The sequence below is a fragment of the Homo sapiens genome, chromosome 14 (assembly GCF_000001405.40).
Source record: "Homo sapiens chromosome 14, GRCh38.p14 Primary Assembly".
Classification (NCBI taxonomy): Eukaryota; Metazoa; Chordata; class Mammalia; order Primates; family Hominidae; genus Homo; species Homo sapiens.
Genome location: NC_000014.9, coordinates 75,835,630 through 75,863,258, shown reverse-complemented (window position 1 = coordinate 75,863,258; position 27,629 = coordinate 75,835,630). Strand labels below are relative to the sequence as shown.

The window sequence follows — 27,629 nt, the reverse complement described above, 5'->3', positions numbered from 1 at the left end:
AAAAGGAAAAGGGTTCATCACACAGAATTTGTTTTCTCTCAACCACCCATCAGTTAAATATCTAAATATTTTTTAGAAGTTGTTTATATTTGAGCTTATGTCCCTATGACTGGGTAACATAAATGGTGTGGGAAGACACTTTTTTTCATTATTCCAAATTTACCTCACAGGGTCCCCACTGAGGCTGACAATCTGTACACCTGAGGAAGGCGAAGGGCCGGTGGCCTTTTTGAGTAGTCAGTACCTATGCTATGTTATAGTATTTGTTAAATACTTTGACTATCTTCCTTGCCCAAATTATTTATTTATTTAGAGACAGGGTCTCAATCTGTAGCCCAGAATGGAGTGCAGTGGTGCAATCACAGCTCACCGTAGCCTCAACCTCCCCATGCTCAGGTGATCCTCCCACCTCAGCCTCCTGAGAAGCTGGGATTCTAGGTGTGTGCCATCATGCCTGGCTAATTTTTATATATTTTTTTTGTAGAGACGGGGGTTTAACCATGTTGCCCTGACTGGTCTCAAACTCCTGGGCTCAAGCGATCTGCCCACCTCAGCCTCCCAAAGTGCTTGGATTGCAGGCGTGAGCCACTGCACCCAGCTCCAAATTCTAGATTCTGGTGACCATGTCTGTGTACTTCCTAGCAGAAGTCTTTACAACTATAGCCTCCTACATTTCCCCTCTCAGATCACTTTTCCCAGTAGAAAAGACCCCATTTATACTACTTCATTCCCATTTGGCTATTATTAAAACAAAATACCTGACGATAACAAGGGTCGCTGAGGATGTGGAAAAACTGGAACCCTTGTGCAATGCTGGTGGGAAAGTAAAATGGTACAGTTACTCTGGAAAACACTTTAGGGGTTCCTCAAAAAGTGAAACACAAAATAACCAAATGATCCAGCAATTTTTCTTGTAGATATATACAGAAAAGAATTGAAATCAAAACTAATAACCGTACACCAATGTTCATAGCAGCATTGTACAAAATAGGCAAAAGGTGAAAACAACCCAAATGTCCATCAACAGATGAATCTACATACAATATTACTCAGGCTTAAAGAGAAAGGAAATTCTGACATATGCTGCAGCACATGTACAGAACCTTGAAGACATTATGCTAAGTGAAATAAGTCAGTCACGAAAGAACAAATATTATATGATGCCACTTATGTGAGGTACCTGGAATAGGCAAATTTTAGAGACAGAAAGTAGAATGGTGATTATCAAGGGCTATGGAATTAGGGAATAGGAAGTCATTTTTCAGTGAGTACAGAGCTTCAGTTTGGCATAATGACAAAGTTCTGGAGACAGATGGTGGCTAATAGTTGCAAAACAGTATAAATGTACTAAATACCACTGAATTGTACACTTTAAAATGGTTAAAATGGTAAATTTTATGCTAAATATATTTTAGTATGATTTTCTAAAGGTCTCATTTCTTTTGAGAACAGTCTTGTCAGTCCTTCCATCTCCTTAACACTTTTGGTTATTCTTCTTGGGACCATCTTTAATTACACTGTATTTCTTTTCCTTTTTAGGTACAGTGACAGGAAAATTGTACATAGAAGAAACATAAGACTTTCATAATGAACAACCTTGCTCCAAACCCTGGTTAAGGGGGCTTAGAAAAATGAAAGGGTGCCTAAATTGAGAAAAGTATTCATAGTGATTTAAATCAGTGTTATTCTTTCCTTTGTCATTAAAGTCATTTCAATGACAGAGGTGTAGGAACCCTGAAGTGAGGCTACACAGACCTTCCAGAGTCCTCACCTAAAAGCCACATAGGGTTATTTATAGCCTGGGTCCTGATGACTCAACAGAGCACTGAAGGAGGGAGCAAAGTGAAATGTTTGCCAAGCTCAGAAGTCCATGCTCCTCTGTTGCCTGTGCCCTCCCTCACAACCTGGTCTTTTCGGGCCTCTGCTTTGGTTTCCCAACTCTCTTAGAGAGATTTCCAAATCTCTCGTTAAGGGTAAGTCCGTGAACTGTATTCTTTCGGCTTTCTATCCCATAATCTCACCTCTGATATGTCACATCCCTTACTCATCTCCTCCCACAGTTTGGCTCCCACAGTTCAGTTGCTCAATTGTATACCATCTCCTAATCTTCTTGGAGAACACACCAAAAAGCTCAGAGCTTATCTATTAAGTTTTCTGAGTGCGACATTTGATCTTCAGTGATCCTTCTTGAAGTGCCTCAGTGTGCATGTTATCAGACAGTTAAAAGGGCATGATCTTTCCCAAGAGACTTCTAGACGTATGGAGAAACATGGTGAGCACTGATCAAATATAAATAAATACTTCAATACATTAGTGAAATGTTAACATTATTCACAAAGCAGGGTGCTGAGTGACAGTAAAACAGGATGACATCGTTAGGAAAGGAGGAGCCTGAGGAACCTATTATCTCTTTTCTCATTAGTGAGGGAAGAGAAAAGCTTACTGAAGATAAAACACCCAAAACTACTCAACAGCTACTGGCTCAGCTAAAGGAACGGAGTGAGCTGTGAACGAAAGGGGGAGCCACCAAGAAAGGTATCTAGGTTCAAGGCAGGAGTGGGCTGATCCAGTGAACAAATGAATACAAAGGAAAGAAACAGGTGAAAAAGAAGAAACTGCTTTAGCTGGCTAACCTTGAGATTTCCACACCAATTAGGGCAGGTGCTGCTTTGAATCCAGAATTAAACTATTAGTTACAACTGGACTAAAGTTCAGAAAGCCCATCAACAGTGGTTCTGCTTTCGTTCCTGCTTTGCTGGTTACAGAAGTTGCTAGCTACAGAAAGCAATCTAGACTCAGTGATTAGATTTTACAGTATTTATATAACTATGAAGCTTACATCAGAATTCATCTCACTGGCTAGATTGGTTCATTTGCTAAAAGCTGTTTTAATAACAAATATCCCCAGGAGACATTCACTTTAATGCCTTCTTGTGTATCAGAAATCAAAGTCTGAAACCAAACCAGGCCCCTTTATGTGGGGATGATCATGGACAGGTTTGCAGGTGTGTGAATATGAGGTGGGGGTCTGTGGATATATAAAGGGTAGGACAGTGGGCAAGAGAAGATCAAATAAGGAATTATGGATAAGAAAGGATGTGTTCCTCCAACTGCACACATATTGAACGGACTGGAACATCATAAACTTTTATAATGAAATCTGTTTTTAATCTCCTCAGTAACATAAGCCCAGTCTACAAATCACAAAAGGAAGTTTCTCAAGCAAGTAGAGGCTTTTAGCAAAGAGGCAGGCATTTTTACACTGCAACACTGGGTGGGGGCAGAAATGCTCAGCTGTGTAATGTAATAAGTGCCACGAGAAACTTGCTTGCTTTGAGTTACAGTGGGTGTCACTCAGCCCATGGTTTCTCACACTTAAAGCACAAGCCTTGGGGTTTGCAGTATGCTAATGCTATAATGATTGACACAGCGGAGGCCAGGTGTACCATAACTTGGCCTTTCCTTGATTTCTGGTGCCCAAGTTTATATATCTAAATATTCCTTTCTAGGCATCTCATACTTTCTATTTCAATGCAAAATTCCATCCCATTCTTGAACCTCAACGAATTCTATTTTTCTAATAATGTTTTTTCTACTCCTACCAAAAATTTTGAGGTTCAATCATTCTCTCCAAAATTTAGTGTTTTTCCTTGCTCAATGCTAAAACATAATATTGTACACAGGCCCCGTAAATATCTTCTAATTGATTTACTTTACTTCTACAACAGAGTACACAGAGCCAAGAGAATTAGCTGTGGGAAGGTTCTGTGCTTAACATCTGATTCAAAGTGAATTAGGCTGTATTTCCCCTTTACATATGTAGCAAATAGGCAACAATATTGCAAATTTTTCTAAATACTACATTCTCTTAATAGCCTATCCATTTAGAACTTTATCTTACTTTCTATATTGTACTGTGGCACTGCAGGATGAAATGTTTTTCTCTACAACTGCCCTTCCTGCAGCATACCTGCAACCTCCAGCCAATAAACATTGAAGAGCTATACTTTTCCTCTGGTTTAATATCTGTTCCATCAAATGGATACTGGTTTTAGGGAACTTGGAGGGAATCTGAAAAATGTAAAGCAAAATCTCAATGGAAGTTGCACTCTCCATAAAGATATGCAGAGGACTGTGACACTTGTATAGAGGGTGATTCCACGGTCCATCTTCCCAGCCTCCTCCACCCAAGTCCAGCCAAACACAAGCTACCATGTACAAGGATGCCCCTGCTCTTTTTGATCGTGCTTGCAACTGTGAGTGTGCTTTCAATTGTCACAATGATGGGGGTGGAGGTGTCACTGACATTTAATTGGCGGAGGTCAGGGTGTTAAATATCCAGAAATGAAAGGAATAGTCTTGTATTAAGAAAATGTGTGCTGCTTAAAATGCCAGTGGTGCTTCTGATGAGAAACACTATAAGGCCATGAAGGAGGTGCTTTCTGGGGAGAAATTATTTCTTTACAAGAAAGTCTATTCACTTCAATGGCACTTTGTGAAATGTACAGATATTTAAATCTTCAAGTATTAGGAAGATGTCAAACTCACAGTGGTGGATACACGTTTTCCAAAAGTCAAACTTTTCCTGAAAAGCTGTAATTTTATCATTGACAACAAATACTGTCAGTTGTATTCTTTGAAGTGATAGGCTCACTGTTTACTTTTGAGGAAACAACTGCCAAATATCCAAATCCAAATAACCCTAGTTTGTCTATCAGATAGATGCTCTTTCAAGTTCAGGGTCACAAATGCCTTTCCTTGAGACAACTATTACATACTAAGCAGCCGAATTGCTTTATGTGTACATCTCATTTTGTCAGACAGAATATTAAAAAGATATACACTCCAGGGTTGAGTTTAAGAAAATATTACTGCTTATGAAGGATACTCTTAAGTAGCACTGGCATTTCTTTCAAGTGAAAATGCTATGGTGGTCAAGAATACAGTGACTTCTACTACAGTTTGGTGCCATTGCCTGGATCTGTGCTAAGGCACGAGCAGTTTTACAAAACCCACCATCGTTTTTGTACCATCGGTGCAAATGTCAACACAGTGAAAAAAGTAGAAATGTCTCAGTACCACTATGAAAATGTTTGATTCTATTGGCTTCCTCAAAGGGTCCTGAGGATCCCCCCTCCTCCCAACCTCTCCGCAGCCCCCAGGTCCAATAATAGCACTTTGAGAATCACAGACCTGCTGCAATACGTATTTTAAAAATTTAATTTGTAATCAAACCTTTTTAAAAACCTTAATATTTTCTTACATAGAAGGAAAATTCTAAGCCCGGATGATTACAAAATGAATTCTATGCCAGGCGTGGTGGCTCACTCCTGTAATCCTAGCACTTTGGGAGGTCGAGGTGGGCGGATCGCTTAAGTTCAGGAGTTCGAGACCAGTCTGGCCAACATGTTGAAACCCCATCTCTACTAAAAATATTAAAATAGCCAGGAGTGGTGGCTGGTGCCTGTAATTCCAGTTACTCAGGAGGCTGAGGCAGGAGAATCGCTTGAACCTGGGAGGCGGAGGTTGCAGTGAGCGGAGATTGTGCCACTGTACTCCAGCCTGGGCGACAGAGTGAGACTCTTGTCTCCCCCTCCCCACCAAAAAAAAAAAAAAGAATTCTATCAAACAAGAAGAAATAATTCCATCCTTTCACAAACTCTTCCAAAAAAGAGCAGAGAAAAAAAAAACTTCCCAACTCATGAGGTTAGCATATCTCTAATACAGAAATCTGACAAAGATAGTACAAAAAAAAATTACTTTCTTTTGGTCTTTTCAGACCAATATGCCTGATGAACACAGATACATAAAAAAACTTTAACACAATATTAGCTAATAAAATCTATCTATCTATCTATCTATCTATCTATCTATCTAATCAACCAACCAATCAAATACACTAGGATAATATATCATGGCCAAGTGGCATTTACCATAGGAATGCAAGGGTAACATTAGAAAAAAAATCTATCATATAATTCACCACATTAAGAGAATGAAGAAAAGTCATATATTAATACCGTTAGACATGAAATGCATTTGACAAAATTCAATACCCATTTCCTGACAGACACTCTTAGTAAACTAGAAAACATTTCTATTCAACAGCAGTAAAGGATGACCTAGCCAGTTTAAGACAAGAAAAAAAGATATTATTCATTGACAGATGATTGTTTACATAGAAAACCTTATAAACTTTAGAGAGATACTGCTAGAACTAATAAATAAATGTAGCAAAGTTGCAGTAATCATGGTCCATAAACAAAATGAAATCATATTTTTATATTCTAGAAATACACAATTGGAAAATGAAATTTTAAAAAGCAATACAACTCGGCTGGGTGTGGTGACTCACGCCTGTAATCCCAGCACTTGGGAGGCGGAGGTGGGCAGATCACAAAGTTAGGAGTTTGAGACCAGCCTGGCCAATATGTTGAAACCATGTCTCTACTAAAAATACAAAAATTAGCCAGGAGTGGTGGCGGGTGCCTGTAGTCCCAGCTACTGGGGATTCTGAGGCAGGAGAATCACTTGAACCCGGGAGGCAGAGGTTGCAGTAAGCTGAGATCGTGCCACTGCACTCCAGCCTGGGCAACAGAGAGAGACTCTGTCTCAAAAAAAAAAAAAAAAAAAGCAATACAACTTATAATATCATGAGAATACATCAAATACCTAAGAATAAATCTAATAGAAAATACATAAGGTCACTACACTGAATTTATAAAACACTAATGAAAGATATTAAACAAAACCTACATAAGTACAAAGATATACCATGTTGACTCACTGGGAGACTCAATATTGTTAGAATGTCTATTCTGTATTTCAGATATTGTTTTTCTCAGTTTCACAATTTCCATTTGGAAATCTGTCTTTATTATTATATTATTATTGAGATGGAGTGTCACTCTTGTACCTCAGAGGCTGGAGCACAGTGGCATGATCTTGTCTTACTGCAACTTCCGCCTCCTGGGTTTAAGCAATTCTCCTGCCTCAGCCTCCCAAGTAGCTGGGATTACAGGTATGTGCCACCACACTCGGCTAATTTTTGTATGTTTAGTAGAGATGGGATTTTGCCATGTTGGCCAGGCTGGTCTTGAACTCCCGACCTCAGGTGATCAGCCCGCCTCGGCCTCCCAAAGTGCTGGGATTACAGGCATGAGCCACTGCACCTGGTCAATATTTTGTATTTTTCATTCATTAAAGCATATTTTCCTTTACATCCTTGTGCACAGTTATAAGAGTCACTTTAAAATCCTTGTCTGTTAATTCTATCATCTGGGCCTTCTAAGGATTGGTCTTCATTGATTATCTTTTATTCTGAGGATAGGTCATATTTTCCTATTTCTTCCTACATTAAATAATTTCATATTGTATCCTGGATATTGTGAATGATATGTTGTAGAGACTGGATTGTATTATGTCGCTCTAAAGAATGTGTGTGTATGTGTTTTAAGTAGATGGTTAACCTGGAGAAACTCAAATTGCAATTCTTTCTTCTCCTCCGTGGGCTGCAGCTCAGATCAGTTCTTTTTGTGTTACCTGCATGCTTTGAAGTATGTCTTGCATATGCATTAGTCAGGGGTCAGTCAGAGATTTGGGAAAACTTTCTACATAGAATTTAGGCTCCCCTCTTCTGGAGATGTCTCATTTCCAGAGTTCCCCTCTCCCTCTACAGCAGATGTGGTTATCCTGAACTCCATCTTCCAGTTCACCAAGCCAGTTAGACTGCAGATTTTGGGGCAAGTTTTATCTGCTCCATGTGGTGCAAACTATGACTTGCCCTTAAGTGAAAAGGCAACAACAGAAAACAAACAAACAAACAAAAACCCAGAAAACTCACCCGTGGCAATTCCCTTCTTTCAAATGTTGATTCATCTCCAGTATCAATCAGCTTTTGTTCACCCTCCAGTGCCTTTAAATAGTTGTATTTTATATTTTATCAAGTAGGTTGATCAGATAAAGACTTAGCCAGAACTGGAAACTACCCCCTAATCAATCTACAGATTCAAAGCGATCACAATAAAAATTCCAGCAGGCTTTGTTTTTGTTGTTGAAGAAACTGACATGTTGATTTTTTTTTTCTTATTTCTTTTTTTTTTTTTTTTCTTCTAGCATACCTCTGGTGGCAGGAAAGGTTGATTGCCACATTAGGGAAAAATCAAAGAATCTATATTAGTCAAAACAATCTTGAAAAAGATAACTTACATCACCTGATTTCAAGACTACTATAAAACTACCATGATCAAGACATTTCTGCTCATCAAAAGACATCACTAAGGAAAAGAAAATGAATAAGCAAGACATGCCTTTGAGGAAAAATATCTGCAATATAGGTATGTATATGTGACAAAGGATTTCTAGTGATAAAATATAAAAATGCCCTATTGGTAACTGTTGATATGAATAACAAAAATAATGAGATTTAAGAACATGTAAAAGATTGGAACAGTCAATTTACAAAAGAAAATATGTGACTGGCTAACAAGCAAATGAAAAGTTCTCAACATCAGTACTCATCAGGGAAATGCAACTAACATCTTACATCTACTAACATGACTAAAATCAAATGGAGAACAATATCAGATGTTAGTGAGCATGAAGAGCAACTAGAACTTTCATACATTGCTGACGGGGGTGTAAAATGATGCAATCGTTTCAGAAAACTACTGGTCAGTTTCTTATAAAGTTAAACATATATTTACACGACAGGACAATTCTACTTCTAGGTATTGACCCAAAAGAAATAAAAATGTGGCTAAAAAAAAGTTGCATAAGAATTTTCACTGAATTTGTATTCATAGTAGTCAAAAACTGGAACCAATCCTAATGCCTATCATTACAGAAATAAATTGTGGTGTATTCATACAATGAAGTATTGCTCAATAAAAACGAATGAACTGCTAATATAAGCAACAAAACAGATGAATCTCAAAAACACTGTATTGAATGAAAGAAGCCAAACACAAAAGAACAAATATTGTATGATTCCATTCATGAACAGGCACAGCAAATCTACAGTGAGAGGAGTCAGAAGAATGATTACTAGTGGGGAGGGGCAGTATCGACTGGAAAAAGACGCAAGGGAATTTTGAAGTGTGATGGAAATGTTCTGTATGTTGTGTTGCATGGTGGTTAACAAAGATATATAAAATTGCTGAAACTCATCAAATTGAACAGTAAAATATATATATATTTTCTCTCTCTTTTTTTTTTGAGACGGAGTCTTGCTCTGCCACCCTGACTGGAGGGCAGTGGCATGGTCTCCGCTCACTGCAACCTCTGCCTCTGGGTTCAAGCAGTTCTCATGCCTCAGCCTCTTGAGCAGATGGGATTGCAAGTGTGTGCCACCACGCCCAGCTAATTTTTGTATTTTTAGTAGAGATGGGGTTTCACTGTGTTGGTCAGGCTGGTCTCGAACTCCTGATCTCAAGTGATCTGCCCGCCTCGGCCTCCCAAAGTGCTGGGATTACAGGCGTAAGCCACTGCGTCCAGCCAAAATAGATGATTTTTTAGTTTACATAATTATACCTCAATTTTAAACAGACAAACATGCAAACAAAAAGTTACAGCATTTTCACTTATCTTTCATTAAAACTCTTGTTATTATTTCCTGTTTTTATAATTTCCTGATTTTAGCTATAAAATAACTTTTTCTCTCTTGTACTTTGCAATACTGGGATCATATGTAAAGATACATGCCTAAGCAGTTATTTCATTTCAGTGCAATTCAATCCACATTTATTGGACACTGTTCCTAGGTGCTTACGGACTACCAAGAAGAAAAACACATAGTTCCTGCTTTTTAAAAGCTCATGACCTAGAGCAGTGACTTGTCAGGCGAGTCCACAGGAAGAATGAGGAGGTGAAAAAATGTCAGGAATAGCAGGACTCTGGAATAGGTGGTATTAACACAGGGGTTTAAAGCCCAGGAGATGTTAGGCAGAATCAAGGGGAGCTAGCTTATATGTTAACATTAGTGATGAAAATCATGTTAGTCCGAATGACCCAGTAAACTGGCATGAAGGTCTGAAGAAGTGAGAAATGCAAAGACAGTGACAATCTTGGTGTAAATGAGTCCTGTGGATGAAGGGCAGAAAGAATGGTTGGCTCTGAAAGTAAGCTTGATGATATATTGATAATAAAAGTCAAATGTAGTTAGAAGAGAGTCAAGGGTCATAATAGTTAAATTTAGCACTGAAATTGCACAGTGGAGGCTCTGTAAAGAATAAATCTGTTTATGAAATGCGTTCAATGAATGATTGATAACTACTCTCATTAGTAAAAAAGAAAAGCTGAATTGCACTTAGATATAAACTTAATACATACTGAAACAGTCTACTAAGAAATCTTAATGTAAAAGGTAAATTATAAATTAACTATAACTGTTAATAACTGTCAGTAACTGCTGACTGGGAACACTGATAGCTAGCCAAATGAAATCTGTGCTTAACATTATTTAAGTGAGTTAGACGGACCTGCCAAGAGTTCACACTCATGGTGACAAGTGCTTTGATTCTTAGAGAATTTATGTGTTAGAACAAGATTTTTAAGTGATCTCTAAAAATTATAATACTAAAGAAATTAATTTTTTTTTAACCTTTGAGTTTACACCTTGAGATAAGAGTATACTCTCTTCTGCTTTTCCTGTTTTGAACCTATGGAGTTATACAGAAATGGTTCTTCTATGGGAAGAGTTAAAGTATAATAGGGATGGTGTTAGAGATCATGAAAAGCTCAGAAATAATCTGGAAAAACTATGTGAACTTTTGATGCTAGGTCAAAAGCACATAACTACACGAAATTGTAAGTGCAAGCTGGTCTCCTTGCTTGAGAACAGGGTGAAAGGACTTAAAAACTTCTAAATAATTTGTTTACTTGAGAGGATGAAAGTCTCCTGGGAAAGGATTAAAGAAATAATCCAAGAAAGAAGACAAAAAGAAATAAAAGGTTTTGGGTGCTGGGAAGGAATCAAACCCAATGCAAGCACTGAGATAGTGAGAATTCAGGAGGCCTTGCACTCTGGGTCCACACCACGGGTCTGCACAGGACCACCTGCAGAAGGGGAGGCAGCAATGCAGTGACTAAGGCTGAGATCGAGCGCAAGCCTGCAAGGTTCAGATCCTAGCTCTACCACTAGAAGCAACATGTTTAACCTCTCTGTGCCTTGGTTTCCTCAGCTGTGAAATGAGAATAAAAATTAATCCCATCTCTCATAGGGTTGGTCTAAAAATTACATGTGATAATCTATGTACAGCGTTTAGCACATGGCATGCATAATAAATGTTCAGTAAACATTAGCTATTATTAACATTCTTCCCATGGAAAGTGAACCCAAGCTTTCGGGGCACGGGGTAACCAATAAGGGTACTAAACAACAAGCACTGCTTCTGAGAAAGAAGAAGTATACTACTTCAAAGCAGTATTTACAATGCCTTTACACCAAGTTTTGTGTCTATGTGAGATCACCTGGGTGATAAATGAGGGCAGCCAAACTATTGGATCCAAAAAAAAGACGCCAGAATCACTCAGATGTGTGAGCAGGAGAGTAAAGTCCATTTGCCAGTCTCACCCGCCAGAGAGAGCGGCTGCACGGTGGCCCCTGCTGGAGGGGACTTTCCTATGGTGGAAGCCTGCTGCTCCACGCCAATCCCGCTGCAGAATGCTCTAATTCTGGGCAGAGTGGCTCCTGTGGGGAAGTGGGGGTTTACTAATAATGCTGATTACCAGAGAGAAGCAATGGTTCAGGCACTGGATGTGAGCACTGACGAATGAGAAAGATTACCAAATCTTCCTCCCCTCCCCCAAGGCTAAATTACCAGCAGCGGCTATATACCCTTTCACCTTTTCAAAATGAAACAAAACCAAAGCAATTTTTTAAGAATAAAAGTATTATATTCTCAATGCCTAAAACCTGAGAGACAAAAAGGCATAGAGAAATTCATCCGTGATCCAACAACCAAAGACGTCTGCTACATTTTGTCACCATGTTGACGTATATTCTTCCTCTGTGTGTATTTCCCTTGCACAAACAGAATGAGTCCATACTCTATGCTTTATAACCTGCTTTTTCATCTGATAATGTTATGAACATTTTCCCACAAGATAATATGTGCTTTTGGCAGTTCTTATTCCATTAACTTTTTTTTTTTTTTTTTTTTTTGAGACAAGGTCTCACTCTGTCACTCAGGCCGAGTACAGTGGTACAATCGTGGCTCACTGCAACCTCTAAGTCCCAGGCTCAAGCAATCCCTCCGCCACCTCCGCCTCCTGAGTAGCTAGGACTACAGGTGTGTGCTAACACACCTGGCTAATTTTTTATTTCTTGTAGAGATGAGGTCTCACTACGTTGCCCAGGCTGGTCTTGAACTCCTGGACTCACCGCAGCCTCCCAAAGTGCTGGGATTACAGGCATGAGCCACTGCACCTGTCCTTCTATTGTTAAATTCTATTATATTTAAAGTCAACCTAAACCCTTAAAGTCTTCTTTACACTTGAATTTTTGAACTCATGTGAAAGGCTTTATGTTTTTCCCTATTAAATTCCATGAATTAGATTCATTATTCTAGCCCGTTTAAATCACGGTGAATCCTGCCTGTCATCCCAGGTATTCATTATTCCATGGAATTCCTACTTCATGTTATCTTAGAACAGGATTCACGTGTCTTCTACCTACCTAAGTGCCTAGCATATACTAGGCACCTAAATAAATATGAATGAATAAATTCATTGATAAACACTGGGAACTATGAGTCAATGACAGAGTCCCAGAAACTTAATTCTCAAACTTTGATTTATTGTTTGGGTACAGCTGCACATTTAGTTACCAATTTTTTTTTTTTTTTTTTTTTTGAGACGGAGTTTCACTCTTGCTGCCCAGGCTGGAGTGCAATGGCGTGATCTTGGCTCACTGCAACCTCTGCCTCCCAGGTTCAAGCGATTCTCCTGCCTCAGCTTCCCTAGTAGCTGGGATTACAGGCATGTGCCACCATGCCCGGATAATTTTGTATTTTTAGTAGAGACGGGGTTTCTCCATTTTGGTCAGGCTGGTCTCGAACTCCCGGCCTCAAGTGATCCGCCCGCCTCGGCCTCCCAAAGTGCTGGGATTACAGGCATGAGCCACCGTGCCCGGCCCCAGATTTTTTTTTTTATTTTTATTTTTTGAGACCCTGTCACTCAGACTAGAGTGTAGTAGTATGATCTCGGTTTACTGCAACCTCCGCCTCCTGGGCTCAAGCAATCCTCCCACCTCAGCTTCCCAAGCAGCTGGGACTACAGGTGCACACTACTACGCCCAGCTAATTTCTTGTATTTTTGTTAGAGACAGGATGGTCTCAAACCTGTTGCCCAGGGTGGCCTCGAACTCCTTGGCTCAAGCAATCCACCTGCTTCAGCCTCCCACAGTATTGGGATTACAGGTGTGAGCCACCACACCCGACCAGTCACCAAATATTCTTAATGACAGTATTACCACATTCACATTTCTCTTTTGTGCTCACAAGATTTCATTATGCCTTGGGGAAACCTAGTTACAGTCATTCCTTTGTAGTCCCCTGGTCTTCTCTTACCAAAGTAATTCTACCTTGAAGGGAAATGAAGTTACTCTAGCATAACTTACTTTTTTCATGAATCAGTGCTGGGCTTAAATGATTCCCTTCTACTTCTCTAAGGACTGCCAACTCATTGGTTTGCTGATCTATTAGATTTTGGCCTAAAACTGACATCTCAATTACCAGTTTATATATTCGGCGTCTAACTTATTTCTATCTCTTCCTTCTTTTCCCAGCATATGACCTCCTTCTTTGTGCATTAAATCATCTACTGAATCACTATCACAAGCACCAGAAACATAAATCAGAAATTAGCCATCATAAGAACTGCTCTTTGTGGATATAGTAAATTCAACAGAGAGAATAAGGTTGACTCAATGAAAAAGATTAAGAATATGGGTAGGATCCAAATAAAATATCTAATTTAAAACACAGAATTACAAGCTCTTGAGGAGAGACTTCTGATTAGCCACTCAATAAGCAGAGATACAGAAAAGGAAAAAGCAGCAGAAGTGATGATGGGAAGATGCTGGGGAGGGAGATGTTTTGGCTAACTTTACTTTGATTTTATTAAATAACTGTGTGACAATTACATAAATTTGGGAAGAATGCATTGAGGTATCATGTCAAAAAGCTAGAAGCTGATATGTCTGTCCTTTAAAAGTACAATGAGATTCCAGCCAGCTGGACCTGACAATGGATAGAGAATGTGAACCAGACTTCTGCTGTTTCCACACCCCTACCACTCCATGATCAATGGAATGGTCCCCAGGAGGAAGAAATAAGGACAAAGCTGGATTTCTTAGTACATCTGGCAGAGACCCTGGGAGCAAGCTTTATGGAACAAAAAGCTGGATATAAAAACCAAACCTTTCAAAAGGTTAAGTTCACAGCACTGTTGTAGAAGGCAACTTAGGATTCTAGCAGTGAGCTGGTTATGGAGATAGAGACTCCCTGGTCCTTTATCTATTAGGAGTCTGGATCTGAAAAGACAGATTGGTCCTCAGCCTTATGAACATGAAATGTCTTTGATCCAGTTCTTTATTTTGGCATAACCAGCATACCACATGAAGCCTAAAAAAATGTAGCTGTGAACTAAAAAAGAAGTGAGCAAAGAATGACCTTTAAGAAAGCCAAAGGAGAACTCCCTGACACCAGTTCATTCAACAATGAAGACTGAGTCCGGCTCAGCAGGATTTTTATCAAATCAAGGGAAAAGTCTTTGTGACAGTAACATCAGCACACATAAGCACAGCTGGCCCTTATTGTAAAACTGGACCGCCATCACCTAGCTTTCACACTCTGCAAAGGCAAGCCAGGAAAAGTTTTTAGAGTGGAAGTTAATGTGCAGATTGTCTAGGGCAGCTGACATGCCAGTTTCCAAGAACTTCTACATTGAATTGTAGCTGGGTTCAAACCTAGTGCACATAAACAGCTTGCAAAGTGTCACAAATTTAGAATTCCTGCCCCATCACATCAGTTAGGCTCCCTTCACTTCTCTTTTCCCCAGGAAGCAAAATATCAGGCAACTTGGAACAGTGAGGCCTACAGTTTTTCTGGCTCCAGTAACCTGCCTCTGCCCCCTTCCTTCAGTTGGCCAAGGGAAATAGGAGACAACTCCAAAACTCCACCTTTTTTTTAAACCTTCTCCACCTGTACTTTTTCTTTCTTTATAAAGATATTTTTATAAAATGGGGAAAATACCAGAGAAATCACAAGAGATTAAAAAAAAAAACAGCACCAAAGGGAAGAAAAGAAAATGTATACTTATAATTAAGCCTTTCTCTTACCGGACCACCAGCAACAGCAGCAGCCACATTTTGAAACTTGTTAAAAATGAAAATAATGGAGCCTCACTCCAGGCCTACTGGAATTAGAAACTCTGTGGTTGGGCCCAGCAATCTGTGTGTTAACAAGCCTGTCAGGTGATTGTGACACACACAAAGAATCACTGGCAGAGTGGTTAAGAGCACGAATTCTGCCACCATATTGCTTGGGCTTGGATCCTGACTGCCTTTCATCAACTGTGTTATCTTGGGCAAGTGATTTCATTTCTCTGTGCTTAGTTTCTTCATCTGTAAAATGGGGATGATAACAGTACTTACCTGATAGAGCAGCTGTGAGCACTGAATCATTAATACATATAAAGCTTTCAGAACAGTTGTATACATAGTAAACATTAATTATTAAATGAATTAAGGTACATAAGTTAAGGTACATAAAGCATTTAATTATTATTGTTACTATTATTTCTTATTTATGATCTAGTTTTTGAGGTTCAGTGAGACATAATCCAAATTTCTCACAAACCAAGAGAAAGTCCATATTCCTCTATGGCAAACTGGACCCTCTTGGTATAAAGAAGCTAATCAGCTTTGGTATTAATGTGATAAAAAAAAGAAATACAGCCAGATGCGGTGGCTCACGCCTGTAATCCCAGAACTTTGGAAGGCCGAGGTGGGTGGATCACCTGAGGTCAGGAGTTTGAGACCAGACTGGCCAACATGGTGAAATCCCATCTCTACTAAAAAACACAAAAATTAGCCAGGTGTGGTGGTGGGCACCTATAATCCCAGCTACTTGGGAGGTTGAGGCAGGAGAATCAATTGAACCCGGGAAGCAGAGGTTGCAGTGAGCTGAGATTGTGCCACTATACTGCAGCCTGGGCGACAGAGCAAGACCCCCTCTCAAAAAAAAGAAATATAGAACTTGTATTTTAGGAACTTAATCCAATGTAATTCTTTGCCTCTAAAGCTCTAAATTCAGACATTACACTTGCCAAGGAAGAAATGCATGATTCATCTCTATGTCTGCCTTATGGACTAATTCCTCACACTTCGAGTCCATAAATGGCCTGGAGGCCAACAGGGAACTCTTTCATTATCTCTTGTAATTCTTTTTTTTTTTTTTTTTTTTCTGAGATGGAGTTTCACTCTTGTTGCCCAGGCTGGAGTGCAATGGTGCAATCTCGGCTCACCGCAACCTCCGCCTCCCAGGTTCAAGTGATTCTCCTGCCTCAGCCTCCCTTGTAGCTGGGATTACGGGCACGCGCCACCATGCCTGGCTGATTTTGTATTTTTAGTAGAGACAGGGTTTCTCCATGTTGGACAGGCTGGTCTCGAACTCCCGATCTCAGGTGATCCGCCCGCCTCGGCCTCCCAAAGTGCTAGGATTACAGGCATGAGCCACCACACCCGGCCAGTATCTCTTTTAATTCTTTACATCTTATCATGATATCATGGTTCGCTTCTAAAATACTGTAACTATTAAACCATATGCTTTTTAAACCATAGCTAAAATGACAGATCACATTTACAAGAAGTGTTGATTGACCAACACCTGTGTGATTAGGCCATTGTAAAAATTCATCAGGACCAAAAAATCCACAATTTCTATCCCCTAGAGTCACAAGATTTCCCTTATGTAATTCCCCACCAACTAAAACAACCATTCTTACTTGCCTGACCTGCTGGTTTATATCTATTTAAAAAAATAAGTTCTATTCAGGAGAGTCAGCATACAAAGCAAGACAAAATTTAGTCTAAATTGTAAATATTATACAAGTCATATATTGATAGTTAGCCTCTTCAGGCTACTGATGTTTTCTGCCCACACTCAAAGCTTCTCTATGGAATTGGCATTTGACAAAAGTAAAACACTATACAAATGCATAGACTAGGGTAAAGATATTTGTAATGCTGAACTCTATCGCACCAGCCCCTAATTTTTTTTCATTTTTGTTCACAGAAAGATTCTTATAATCCACCAGTGATAGTTTCTTTTCAGAAATATTTCCATCTGTCCTTTGTACGCTATCACCAAAAAAACAGGTCTAGGCTGGTCTGGGACGCCATTGTGTAAAGACTGGTACTGATTTTCCTCCCTCTAAAACTAGGAAAGTTAAAGTAGAGGAAAGAACATGAGCTTTCACATCAGAAAGACCTGGACTCAAATTCTTGGGCCATCAGTTACCTCAGGTGTGACCATGGACAAATGGTATCACCTCTAAGACAATTTCATCATTTACACACGAGGATAACAATACCCACATTACAACCCTGTGTTCAGCACAAATCATACAAAGCACAGGATCTGGCATAAACCAGGCGCTCAGTAAATGTGGTTAAGCTCCCTTTTCCTTCTCCTGTTCCTCTCTTTCACAACTTACAGCACAGATTCTTATTTCAAAATAAGGGAGAAATACTTCTGAACTAATATCAAGTTGTAGGGCATTTCAAACAATATAAAAATTAATTTAAAAATTAAAAACATGCTGACTACCAAAATGTGTAAGTACTAAAAAGTGCAAAGAAGAAGGAAAAAAGTCACCCCTAGGGCCATTCTACAGCCACGGGGAGTCCTTCGGTATGTCTCATTCCAGTCTTGACCAGTACATTGTGATCATACTATTCATCTTTATCATTTAGTATTAATGTCAACACATAATGGATATATTTATGTAGTTTAAAAATAGGTGTACACTTTTTTAAATTAAGAAAAAAAACTCCTGCTACTCCTCCAACTCTGTATGCCACTGTGCTGGGAACAGGACACTAGCTTTAGAAAACAAGAGAAGGGAACAACTGGCTATGGAGAAAAATCAAGGAAGCCTTCCATGTAGAAATGACATTTTATCTGCATCTCAAAAGATGACCAGTAACTTGCCAACTGGAAAGGACATTCCGGGCATTAGGAATACTATGTAAAAGAACAGGGAACAATAGGAAAGCCAATGTGGCTAAATGGCAGGAGTGTGGAGGGTGGAGAGATGCTGTAATGAAAGCTGGTAAGATGCAGATCTCTCACATATTCAGAAATAGAAATGTTACTGGTCAAAACTTCCATTTAGGCAAAGCACTGCACAACAGCTTTAACTGGAATCATTCATGCACTTATGATGAAGCTGCAATGAAAAGGCTAAAAAAAAATTAGGTTTGGGTAATGGAAAGGGCATGAGTGAGTGTGGCTTAGAGTGACCAAGAATGAGGACAGCCAAGTCTCACCACCACTACCATCATTAGTGTGAGGGCTTTCTAAATGCCAGACTCCCAACTGAGCTCTTTATATGCCTTATCTTTGTTAGCCTTCATAGCAACCTGTTGAGACAGGTATTATCCCATCTTACACATGAGAAAACTGAGGGTTAGGTTAAGGCCTAAGGACATACAGAATAAAGGAAAGAGCTGCTTTTGAACCTAAGTCTTGATGTCTCCACAATTATAATGAGAAACAGAAAATCATAACTTAAAATAGCCCCTGCTAAAGATTTTCTAACAATTATTGCTACAGACCTTTGTTTTAGAAATACTAAAGTCATCCAAAGATCCACACAAATATGCTCAACTGATTTCTGACAAAGTTGCAAAACCAATACAATGGAGGAACAATAACCTTTCTAAACCATTTGTGTATTAACAAATGAAGTTGGAGCAATTGAACATACATAGGCAAAGAAGGAACCTCAACCAAAATCTCATACCTCATACAAAAATTAACTCAGATTAGATCACAGATTTAAATATAAAATGAGCCAGGCCAGGCGGCTCACGTCTGTAATCCCAGCACTTTGGGAGGCTGAGGCGGGCGGATCATGAGGTCAGGAGTTCGAGACCGGCCTGGCCAATATGGTGAAACCCCATCTCTACTAAAAATACAAAAATTAGCCGGGAGTAGTGGTAGACCCAGCTACTCGGGAGGCTGAGGCAGGAGAATCTCCTGAACTTGGGAGGTGTGGTTGCAGTGAGCCGAGATCATGCCACTGCACTCCAGCCTGGGTGACAGAACGAGGCTCCATCTCAAAATAAAATAAAATAAAATAAAATAAAATAAAACAAAACAAAACAAAACAAAATAAAATAAATATAAAATGAGAAACTATAAAATCATCCCAAAGATGACTTCTAAAAACATTTCAAACAAAGGAGATGCTTCCATTTCAGTTGTATGCCACATGAGGACAATGATGAGAAAAAGAAGAGGAGGTGCCAGGCACTGCGCTAAATGTTTCTGTGCTTTATCTCACTTTAACCTTGCCTCATGTTACAGATGAGGCAACCGAGGCATAGCTAACTGCAGAATCTGAGCACTCATCTGCTCTGCAGTGCTACCTGCCTTATTGCTACCATTGCCCTACATGTGGTGGCTGCTCCTCTGAAATGGGAAATAGTTGACAACAAAAAATAAGATTTCATTTCCTTCTTGTGTAAGATGAACTTTTAAAGGTGTCTCAACAAAGTTTAAATCTAGATGGATGTGAAGATCCAGCTGAACCAGGAACTTCATTTAGTAACCCCCTTTCCTTCTCCCTCCTTGGATGAATGGTTAGGCCAAGAGGCATATGACTGTTCTTGACCAGCTGGAAGTCATAAGCTCAGGGAGCCCTTCAGCTCTGAACAGTATATTTACATCTCAGTTCCACAGTGGGAAGAGTGGACTTCCAAGAGAAACAAAGGTCTAAGCCTCCAAATAAGTGCATGCACTTCCACACTGGCATCTAGGAGGGCTTCAGACTAGAGGGTTTTCAAGTAAACGCGATTATTACTGATGGAAAGAGAATCCTATCTGTCACAAGGAGGTTCTCAACTCCTTTCAAGTTCCTCTCAGGACAGCAAGGGGAGAAAATATCCTGGACTGGTCAGGCAGGCTGCTCTCTGTCCACAGAAAAGAAATTTGGGCATACTGAAAGGAGTTTTAGCAAGCAGGTGCTTTGCTGTTCAAAACTTGCCTCCACCTTTCTTCTTTTTGCTATGGAGGCAAAAAGGGCACTGAAATATACCAGGATTTCTTCAAAGTGGACACCACCTTTGAGGCTGACTCAAAGGAAGTGTCCAGGTATGGAAGGGTTAAGGCGTGTCCTGTGCTGTCAGCCCTTGATTATTATCACTTTGAAAAGCCGCTGGGTTTACAGGAAGAGTGTGAGAATACTGCAGCTTTCCTAGCCAACATTTGGTTCCCATTACCGTGAATAATCTCTTTCCTCCCTCCTTTCCCCAACCCCCACCCATTTTCTACTTTTTCCACATTTTACATTAAAAGTACATCAAACACTTTTCTTCCTTTTTAATATTTTCCTTAAGCTTTTTTCATTCAGTTTGCTGGGTTCTATAACTTTTTCTGGTTATTCATTACTTAGGAAGGGGAGAGGATCAGGCTCCCTGGGTAAAATCAATCAAAAACAAAACCAGGAGAGAAAAGACCTAAGCAGCGTGGAGGGAAGATGAACTTGACTCACAGGGATTCCTTCTAGTCTTAAGGAACATTAAGAAAATAAAGAGCCCACGGAGAACCCTTTACCCTCCTGCTTCTCGGCCTCCTCTCAGTTGTACTCCTGCCCCAAACAAAACACCCTTGAAGTAATATATCTGAAGATAGGGTCCACTCCTCATTTCATCATCAGTAAAAGTGGGAGAGCGACAGTCCAGAGGAATAGACAGAAAGGTCAATGGTATGTAATGCTGGCAAGGGTGTGGAAAAAGGGCATGTTTCTGTACTCCAGATTGGAGGATATACTGGGATAGGCTTTTTGGATGCCAATTTGACAGCATCTATAAAAATTCAAAGTGGACATTTGATCCAACAATTCCACTTCTAGGAGTTTATCCTACAGAAATACACACATGCACAAAGATCTACGTATAAGGAGTTCCCTACAGATGCCTCATCAGGATACGGCTTAGTGCTTCTTAATAGAAGGATGGAAAAACAAATTATGGCACATTCATACTTTCAAAAACGACATAGTGGTTAAAAATATTTAAGTCAGTTTATATGAACAGACTGAAAAACATGGAGACATATTAGGATAGAAAAACATCACAGAAAAATACATGAAAAAATATACAAACCAACCTTTTAAGTATAGCTACCTCTGAGAAGATTTTATTTGCCACCTAATCTTTCCATATGTGTATTTTTTAGACTACTGTAACATGTGGCTACATGTGTGTACCACTTGTACAACTATTTTTTTTAAGTATGGACATAGATATTTCAGTCTACAGAAAATAAAAAAAAGTAAATATGTAGATCCCTTCCCAATCCCCCGATTTACAGCCCCATGTAAACTGTCCTGAACTGGAAGAAATTTAAAAATTAGAACCTTTCTTAACTTCACAACATGTACTAAGTCAGACTTAGGGAAGTAGATCATATGGAAAATTATCAAGGGAATCACCCAGAAAGTCAGACCAGATGACAAAGAAAGGAATAAATAGGAAAGAAGAAATAATGACTCTAAGAGGCCCAAAAGTTCCCAGTCACAGTCATGGTAATGAAACCAGTGAATACGAATCTAACCAAAAACTGTATTCTAAGTATACTGCAAGGATGGAAGGAAGGAAAGAATGCTGTGGGTATGTGTGTTTGTGTGGGTGTGAAGGGTGTAGAGTAAGAGTGCAAAATCTTTTTCTGACAGAAAGTTAATAGATAATATCTAAACCTAAAATCCAAAAATGGCAGAATAAACATGATTTAGAACTATGAAGGTGATACGGTTTGGCTGTTTGTCCCCTCCAAATCTCATGTTGAAATGTGATTCCCAATGCTGGTGGTGGGGCCTGGTGGGAGGTGATTGGATGATGGGGGTGGATCCCTCAGGCATGGCTTAGCACCATCCCCTTGGTGATGAGTGAGCGCTTGCTCAGTTCGTTCACACGAAATCTGGTTGTTTTAAGAGTCTGGGATCTCCCGTTTCTTGCCCCTGCTCTTGCCATGTGACATACCTGCTCCCCTTCACCTTCTGCCATGATTGGAAGCTTCTGAGGCCCCTACCAGAAGCAAATACTGGCACCACACTTCCTGTATAGCCTACAGAACTGTGAGCCAATAAAACCTTTTTTCTTCATAAATTACCCAGCCTCAGGTATTTCTTTATAGCAATGCAAGAATGAATTAACACAGAAGGTAAATAACAGAAAAAGCAGTTACAAGAAAGTTGAAAGCAATTATTTCTAGGGCATGGAAATTAAGGTTGGGTAGCAGTGGGAAGAGAAAAGGCAAGGGATTCCCATTTTCATTATAAACCCTATAGAATGCCTTAACTTTTAAAACTATAGTTCTGAATTATTGTGGGAACCAGCCTTTGAGATGGCCCCCAACGATCCCCATACCTCCTAGTATTCCTAACATCCTTGCGTAGTTCCCTCCCACACTGAATAGGGCTGGCCTGTATAAACCAACAGAATGCTGAAAAAATGACTGTGTCTGAGGAACAGAAAGCCAAACACCGCATGTTCTCACTCCTAAGTGGGAGGTGAACAATGAGAACACAGGGAGGGGAACATCACACACCGGGGCCTGTCAGGGGGTGGGGGGCAAGGGGAGGGAGAGCATTAGGAGTAATACCTAATGCATGCAAGGCTTAAAACCTAGATGACAGGTTGATAGGTGCAGCAAACCACCATGGCACATGTATACCTACATAACAAACCTGCACGTTCTGCATATGTATCCCAGAACTTGAAGTATACATATATAAAAAATGACTGTGTCTGAAAGACACAAGCATAAAAGCTATAACTATTACAACTCTTAGAACACATGTGGCAAAAGCTGTATGACACTGGATTTGGCAATGATTTCTTGGATGTGACACCAAAGGCACAGGCAACAACAACAACAAAATAGACAAATTAGACTTCATCAAACTTAAAAACTTTTGTGGATCAAGGGTTACATTGTCAACAGGGTAAAAGGGTATTCAATGGAATGGGAGAAAATATTGACAAATCATATATCTGTTGAGGGTTTAATAGCCAGGATATATAGAGAACTCCTAAAGCTCAACAATAACAAAAACAACCTGATTAATAAATTGCCAAAAAACTTAAACAGAGATTTCTCCAAAGAAGATACACAAATAGCCAATAAGCATCAAAAACATGCTCAACATTCCTAATCATTAGGGAAATGCATATCAAAACTACAGTGAGATCACACCCGTTAGGATGGTGATATGATTTGGTTGTGCCCCTCCCCAAATCTCATCTTGAATTATAATCCCCATAATCCCCATGTGTTGTGAGAGGGACCGGTGGGAGGTAATTGAATAATGGGCACGGTTTCCCCCGTGCTGTTCACATCATAGTGAGTTCTCACGAGATCTGATGGTTTTGTAAGCATCTGGCATTTCCCCTGCTGGCACTCATTCTCTCTCCTGCCGCCCTGTGAAGAGGTGCCTTCTGTCATGATTGTAAGTTTCCTGAAGCCTCCCCAGCCATGTGAAACTGTGAGTCAATGAAACCTTTTTTCTTTATAAATCACCCAGTCTCGGGTACTTCTCCATAGCAGCATGAGAACAAACTAATACAGATGGCTACTATCAAAAAGACAGAAAATAAGTTTTGAGGATGTGGCAAAATTGGAACCCTTGTGCACTGCTGGTGGGAATGTGAAGTGGTGCTGCAGCTATGGAAAACAGTATGATGGTTCCTCGAAAACTTAAAAATAGAATTACTCTTCTTCTCCAAGACAAAATCTCAAATGGCAGATGACACCAGCGCTATGGGAGGGTCTAGACCGCAGGTGTGCTCAGGGCCCACACCACAGAGCTCACAGAAGCAAGACCAAGTACAAGGAGTGTGTCACCATCCGCATGCTGGGCTGCCTGGACAAGAACATGAAAATCAAGTCCCTGGAGCAGATCTCTCTCTTCTCCCTGCCCATCAAGGAATCTGAGATCATCGACATTTCTGGGGACACCCTCTCACAGGTGAGGTTTTGAAGACTATACTTGTGGCAAAAGCAGACCCACACTGGCCAGTGGACCAGGTTCAAGGCATTTGTTACCATAAGGGACTACAATGGCTACATCAGTCTGGATAATTGCTCCAAGGAGGCGGACAGTAGCATCTGTGGGGTTATCACCCTGCTCTCCATCATCCCCATGCAGCAAGGATCCAATGGAACAAGATCAGCAAGCTCCACACTCTGCACTGCAAGTGACTGGCTGCTGCGGCTCTGTGCTGATGTGCCTCACCCTCGCCCCCAAAGGCACTGTCAACATCTTAGGTCCTGCACTCAAAAAGCTGCTGCTTATACCTGGTACTCATGACTGCTACACCTTAGCCAGGGGTTGCACCACCCTCTGAGCAACTGTGCCAAGACTACCTTTGATGCCACCTCCAAGATCTTTTTGTTTTTTTTTTTTTGAGACGGAGTCTCGCTCCATCACCCAGGATGGAGTGCAGTGGCACGATCTCGGCTCACTGCAAGCTCCGCCTCCAGGGTTCACGTCATTCTCCTGCCTCAGCCTCCCGAGTAGCTGGGACTACAGGTGTCCACCACCACACACAGCTAATTTTTTTTTTTTTTCTATTTTTAGTAGAGATGGAGTTTCACTGTGTTAGCCAGGATGGTCTCGATCTCCTGACCTCATGATCCACCCACCTTGGCCTCCCAAAGTGCTGGGATTACAGGTGTGAGCCACCACGCCCAGCCGCCACCTCCAAGATCTTTAGCTATCTGACCTCTTACTTCTGGAAAGATTGTGTTTACCAAATCACCTAATTGGGAATTCACTGGCCATCTAGTAAAGACCTGCACCAGAGCCTCTGTGCAAAGGATGCAGGCTCCAACTCTGGCTACCATGTAGTGCTTTTATATAGGAAAAATAAAGTGAATAATTAATTTAAAAAAACACAATTAACATACTATCCAGCAATTTAACTTCTGGGCATAAACCAAAGGAACTGAAAACAGGGAGGTGAAAAGATATTTGTACACTCATGTTTGTAGCAGTTTATTCACAATAGCCAAAAAGCAGAAGTAAACCAAGTGTCTATCAAGATGAATGAGTAAACAAAATGTAGTGTGTGTGTATGGGTGTGTATACATATATACACACACACACTCCCATACACACACACATATATCTAGATATACACATATATATATGTTTAATGAAATATTTTATATTATTCAGCCTGTAAAAGGAAGGAAATTCTGACACATTATAACATAGATAAACCCTGAGGATATTATGCTAAGTGAAATAAGCCAGTCACAAAAAGATAAGTACTCTATGATTCTACTAATAGAGATACCTAGAGTAGTCAAAATCATATAGATAGAAAATACCACAGTAGTGTCCAGGCGTTGGGGGGAGGGAAGAATGTAGAGTTATTGCTTAATGAGTATAGAGTTTCAGTTTATCAAGATGAAAAGAATTATGGAGATGGATGGTGGTGATGATTGCACAATGTGAATGTACTTAATGCTATTGAACTGTGTACAGTTCAAATGGTTAAAAATGGTTAAGATGGTAAACTTTATATTGTGTTTTACCACAATTTTTAAAATAATAATTTTTTAAATGATGATATGTGATTTCCAAGGCTAGGTCATAAAAGACATTGTGGCTTCTACCCTACTCTCTGTTGAATTACTCATTCTGAGGGAAGTCAGTTGCCATGTCATGAGGTCATGTAAGCAGCCAGTGGAGAAGTCCATGTGGAAAAGTCCATGTAGTGAGAAACTGAGGCCTCCTGTCGACAGCCAGCATGAACTCATTACGCATATGAGAGTGAAACATCATGGAAGTGGATCCTCTAGCCCCAGGTAAGCCTTCAGATAACTGCAACCCTCTTGGCTGACACCTTAACTGCAATGTTATAAGAGAATTTGAGCCAGAAACACCCAGCTAAGCTGCTCCTCAATTCTTACAGAAACCTACAGAGGCTGAAATAATAAATGTTTATTATTTTAAGCCACTAAATGTTACAGTAATTTGTTTTGTTGCAATAGGTAACCAATGCAATCACATTGATAAATTTTAAAAAGAAAAAAATCAGCTTTAAAGCATTATCATGTCATAGTGGCCTGCTCTCCTAACACAGCACAATTTAGGGCATATTTTCATGATGGTCTATCACTGGATTACAACACATCTCTTCATTAAAGTCTTGGGAAAGAGGCTTCAACTTTTCTGTGTTGAGAAAACTTCACAGGTGTGTAAAGTTTGATCAGTATGTATAATATATTTGATTACATATATTTTATTTTTATTTTTCATTTTTTTGCATACATAGCAGGTGTATATACTTATGGGTTATATGAGATATTTTGATAAAGGCATGCAATGTGTAATAATCACATCAGGGTAAATGCAGTATCTATCCATCACCCCAAGCATTTATCCTTTGTGTTACATACAGTCCAATTACACTCTTTTAGTTACTTAAAAATGTATAATTAAATTATTTTTGACTACAGTCACCTTGGTATGCTAGCAAATACTAGGTCTTACTCATTCTATTTTTTTTTTGTATCCATTAACCATCCCCACTTCCCCCTGTCACCCCTAACCCCCATTACCCTTCCCAATCTCTGGTAACCAGCATTCTACTCTTTATCTCCACAAGTTCAATTATTTTGATTTTTGGCTCCCACAAGTAAGTGAGAACATGCAAAATTTGTCTTTCTGTGCCTGGCTTATCTCACTTAACATAATGACCTCCAGTTCCATCATGTTGTTGCAAATGACAGGATCTCATTCCTTTTGTGACTGAACAGTACTCTACTATGTGTATGTATCACATTTTCTTCATCTACTCATCTGATGATGAATACTTAGGTTGCTTCCAAATCTTAGCTATTGTGAACAGTGCAGCAACAAACACAGGAGTGCACATATCTCTTCAATATACTGCTTTCCCTTCTTCTGGGCAGATACCTAGGAGTGGGACTGCTGGGTTGTATGGTAGCTCTATTTTTAGTTTTTTGAGGAATCTCCAAACTGTTCTCCATAGTGGTAGTACTAATTACATTCCAACTAGCAGTGTAGGAGCCTTCACTATGCTCCACATCCTCGCCAGCATCATTACTTGTCTTTTGGATATAAGCCATTTTAACTGGGGTGAGATGGTATCTCACTGAAGTTTTGATTTGCATTTCTCTGATGATCAATGATGCTGAGTATTTTTCATATACTTGTTTGCCATTTATATGCCTTCTTTTGACAAATGTCTGTTCAGGTCTTCTGCCTATTTTTAATTGGATTATTAGTTTTTTTCCTACAGAGTTGTTTGAATTCCTTACATATTCTGATTATTAATCTCTTATCAGATGGTTAGTTTGCAAATA

General features: G+C 39.8%; 1 protein-coding gene and 1 pseudogene across 1 annotated transcript in view; one reads left to right on the top strand and one right to left on the bottom strand.

The window, feature by feature from the left end:
* TTLL5 (tubulin tyrosine ligase like 5) overlaps window positions 1-27,629 on the bottom strand; it is a 293,834-nt gene that overhangs the window by 91,821 nt on the left and 174,384 nt on the right. The gene's annotated exons all lie outside the window — the stretch shown is intronic.
* RPS2P43 (ribosomal protein S2 pseudogene 43) lies at window positions 24,121-24,731 on the top strand (annotated as a pseudogene).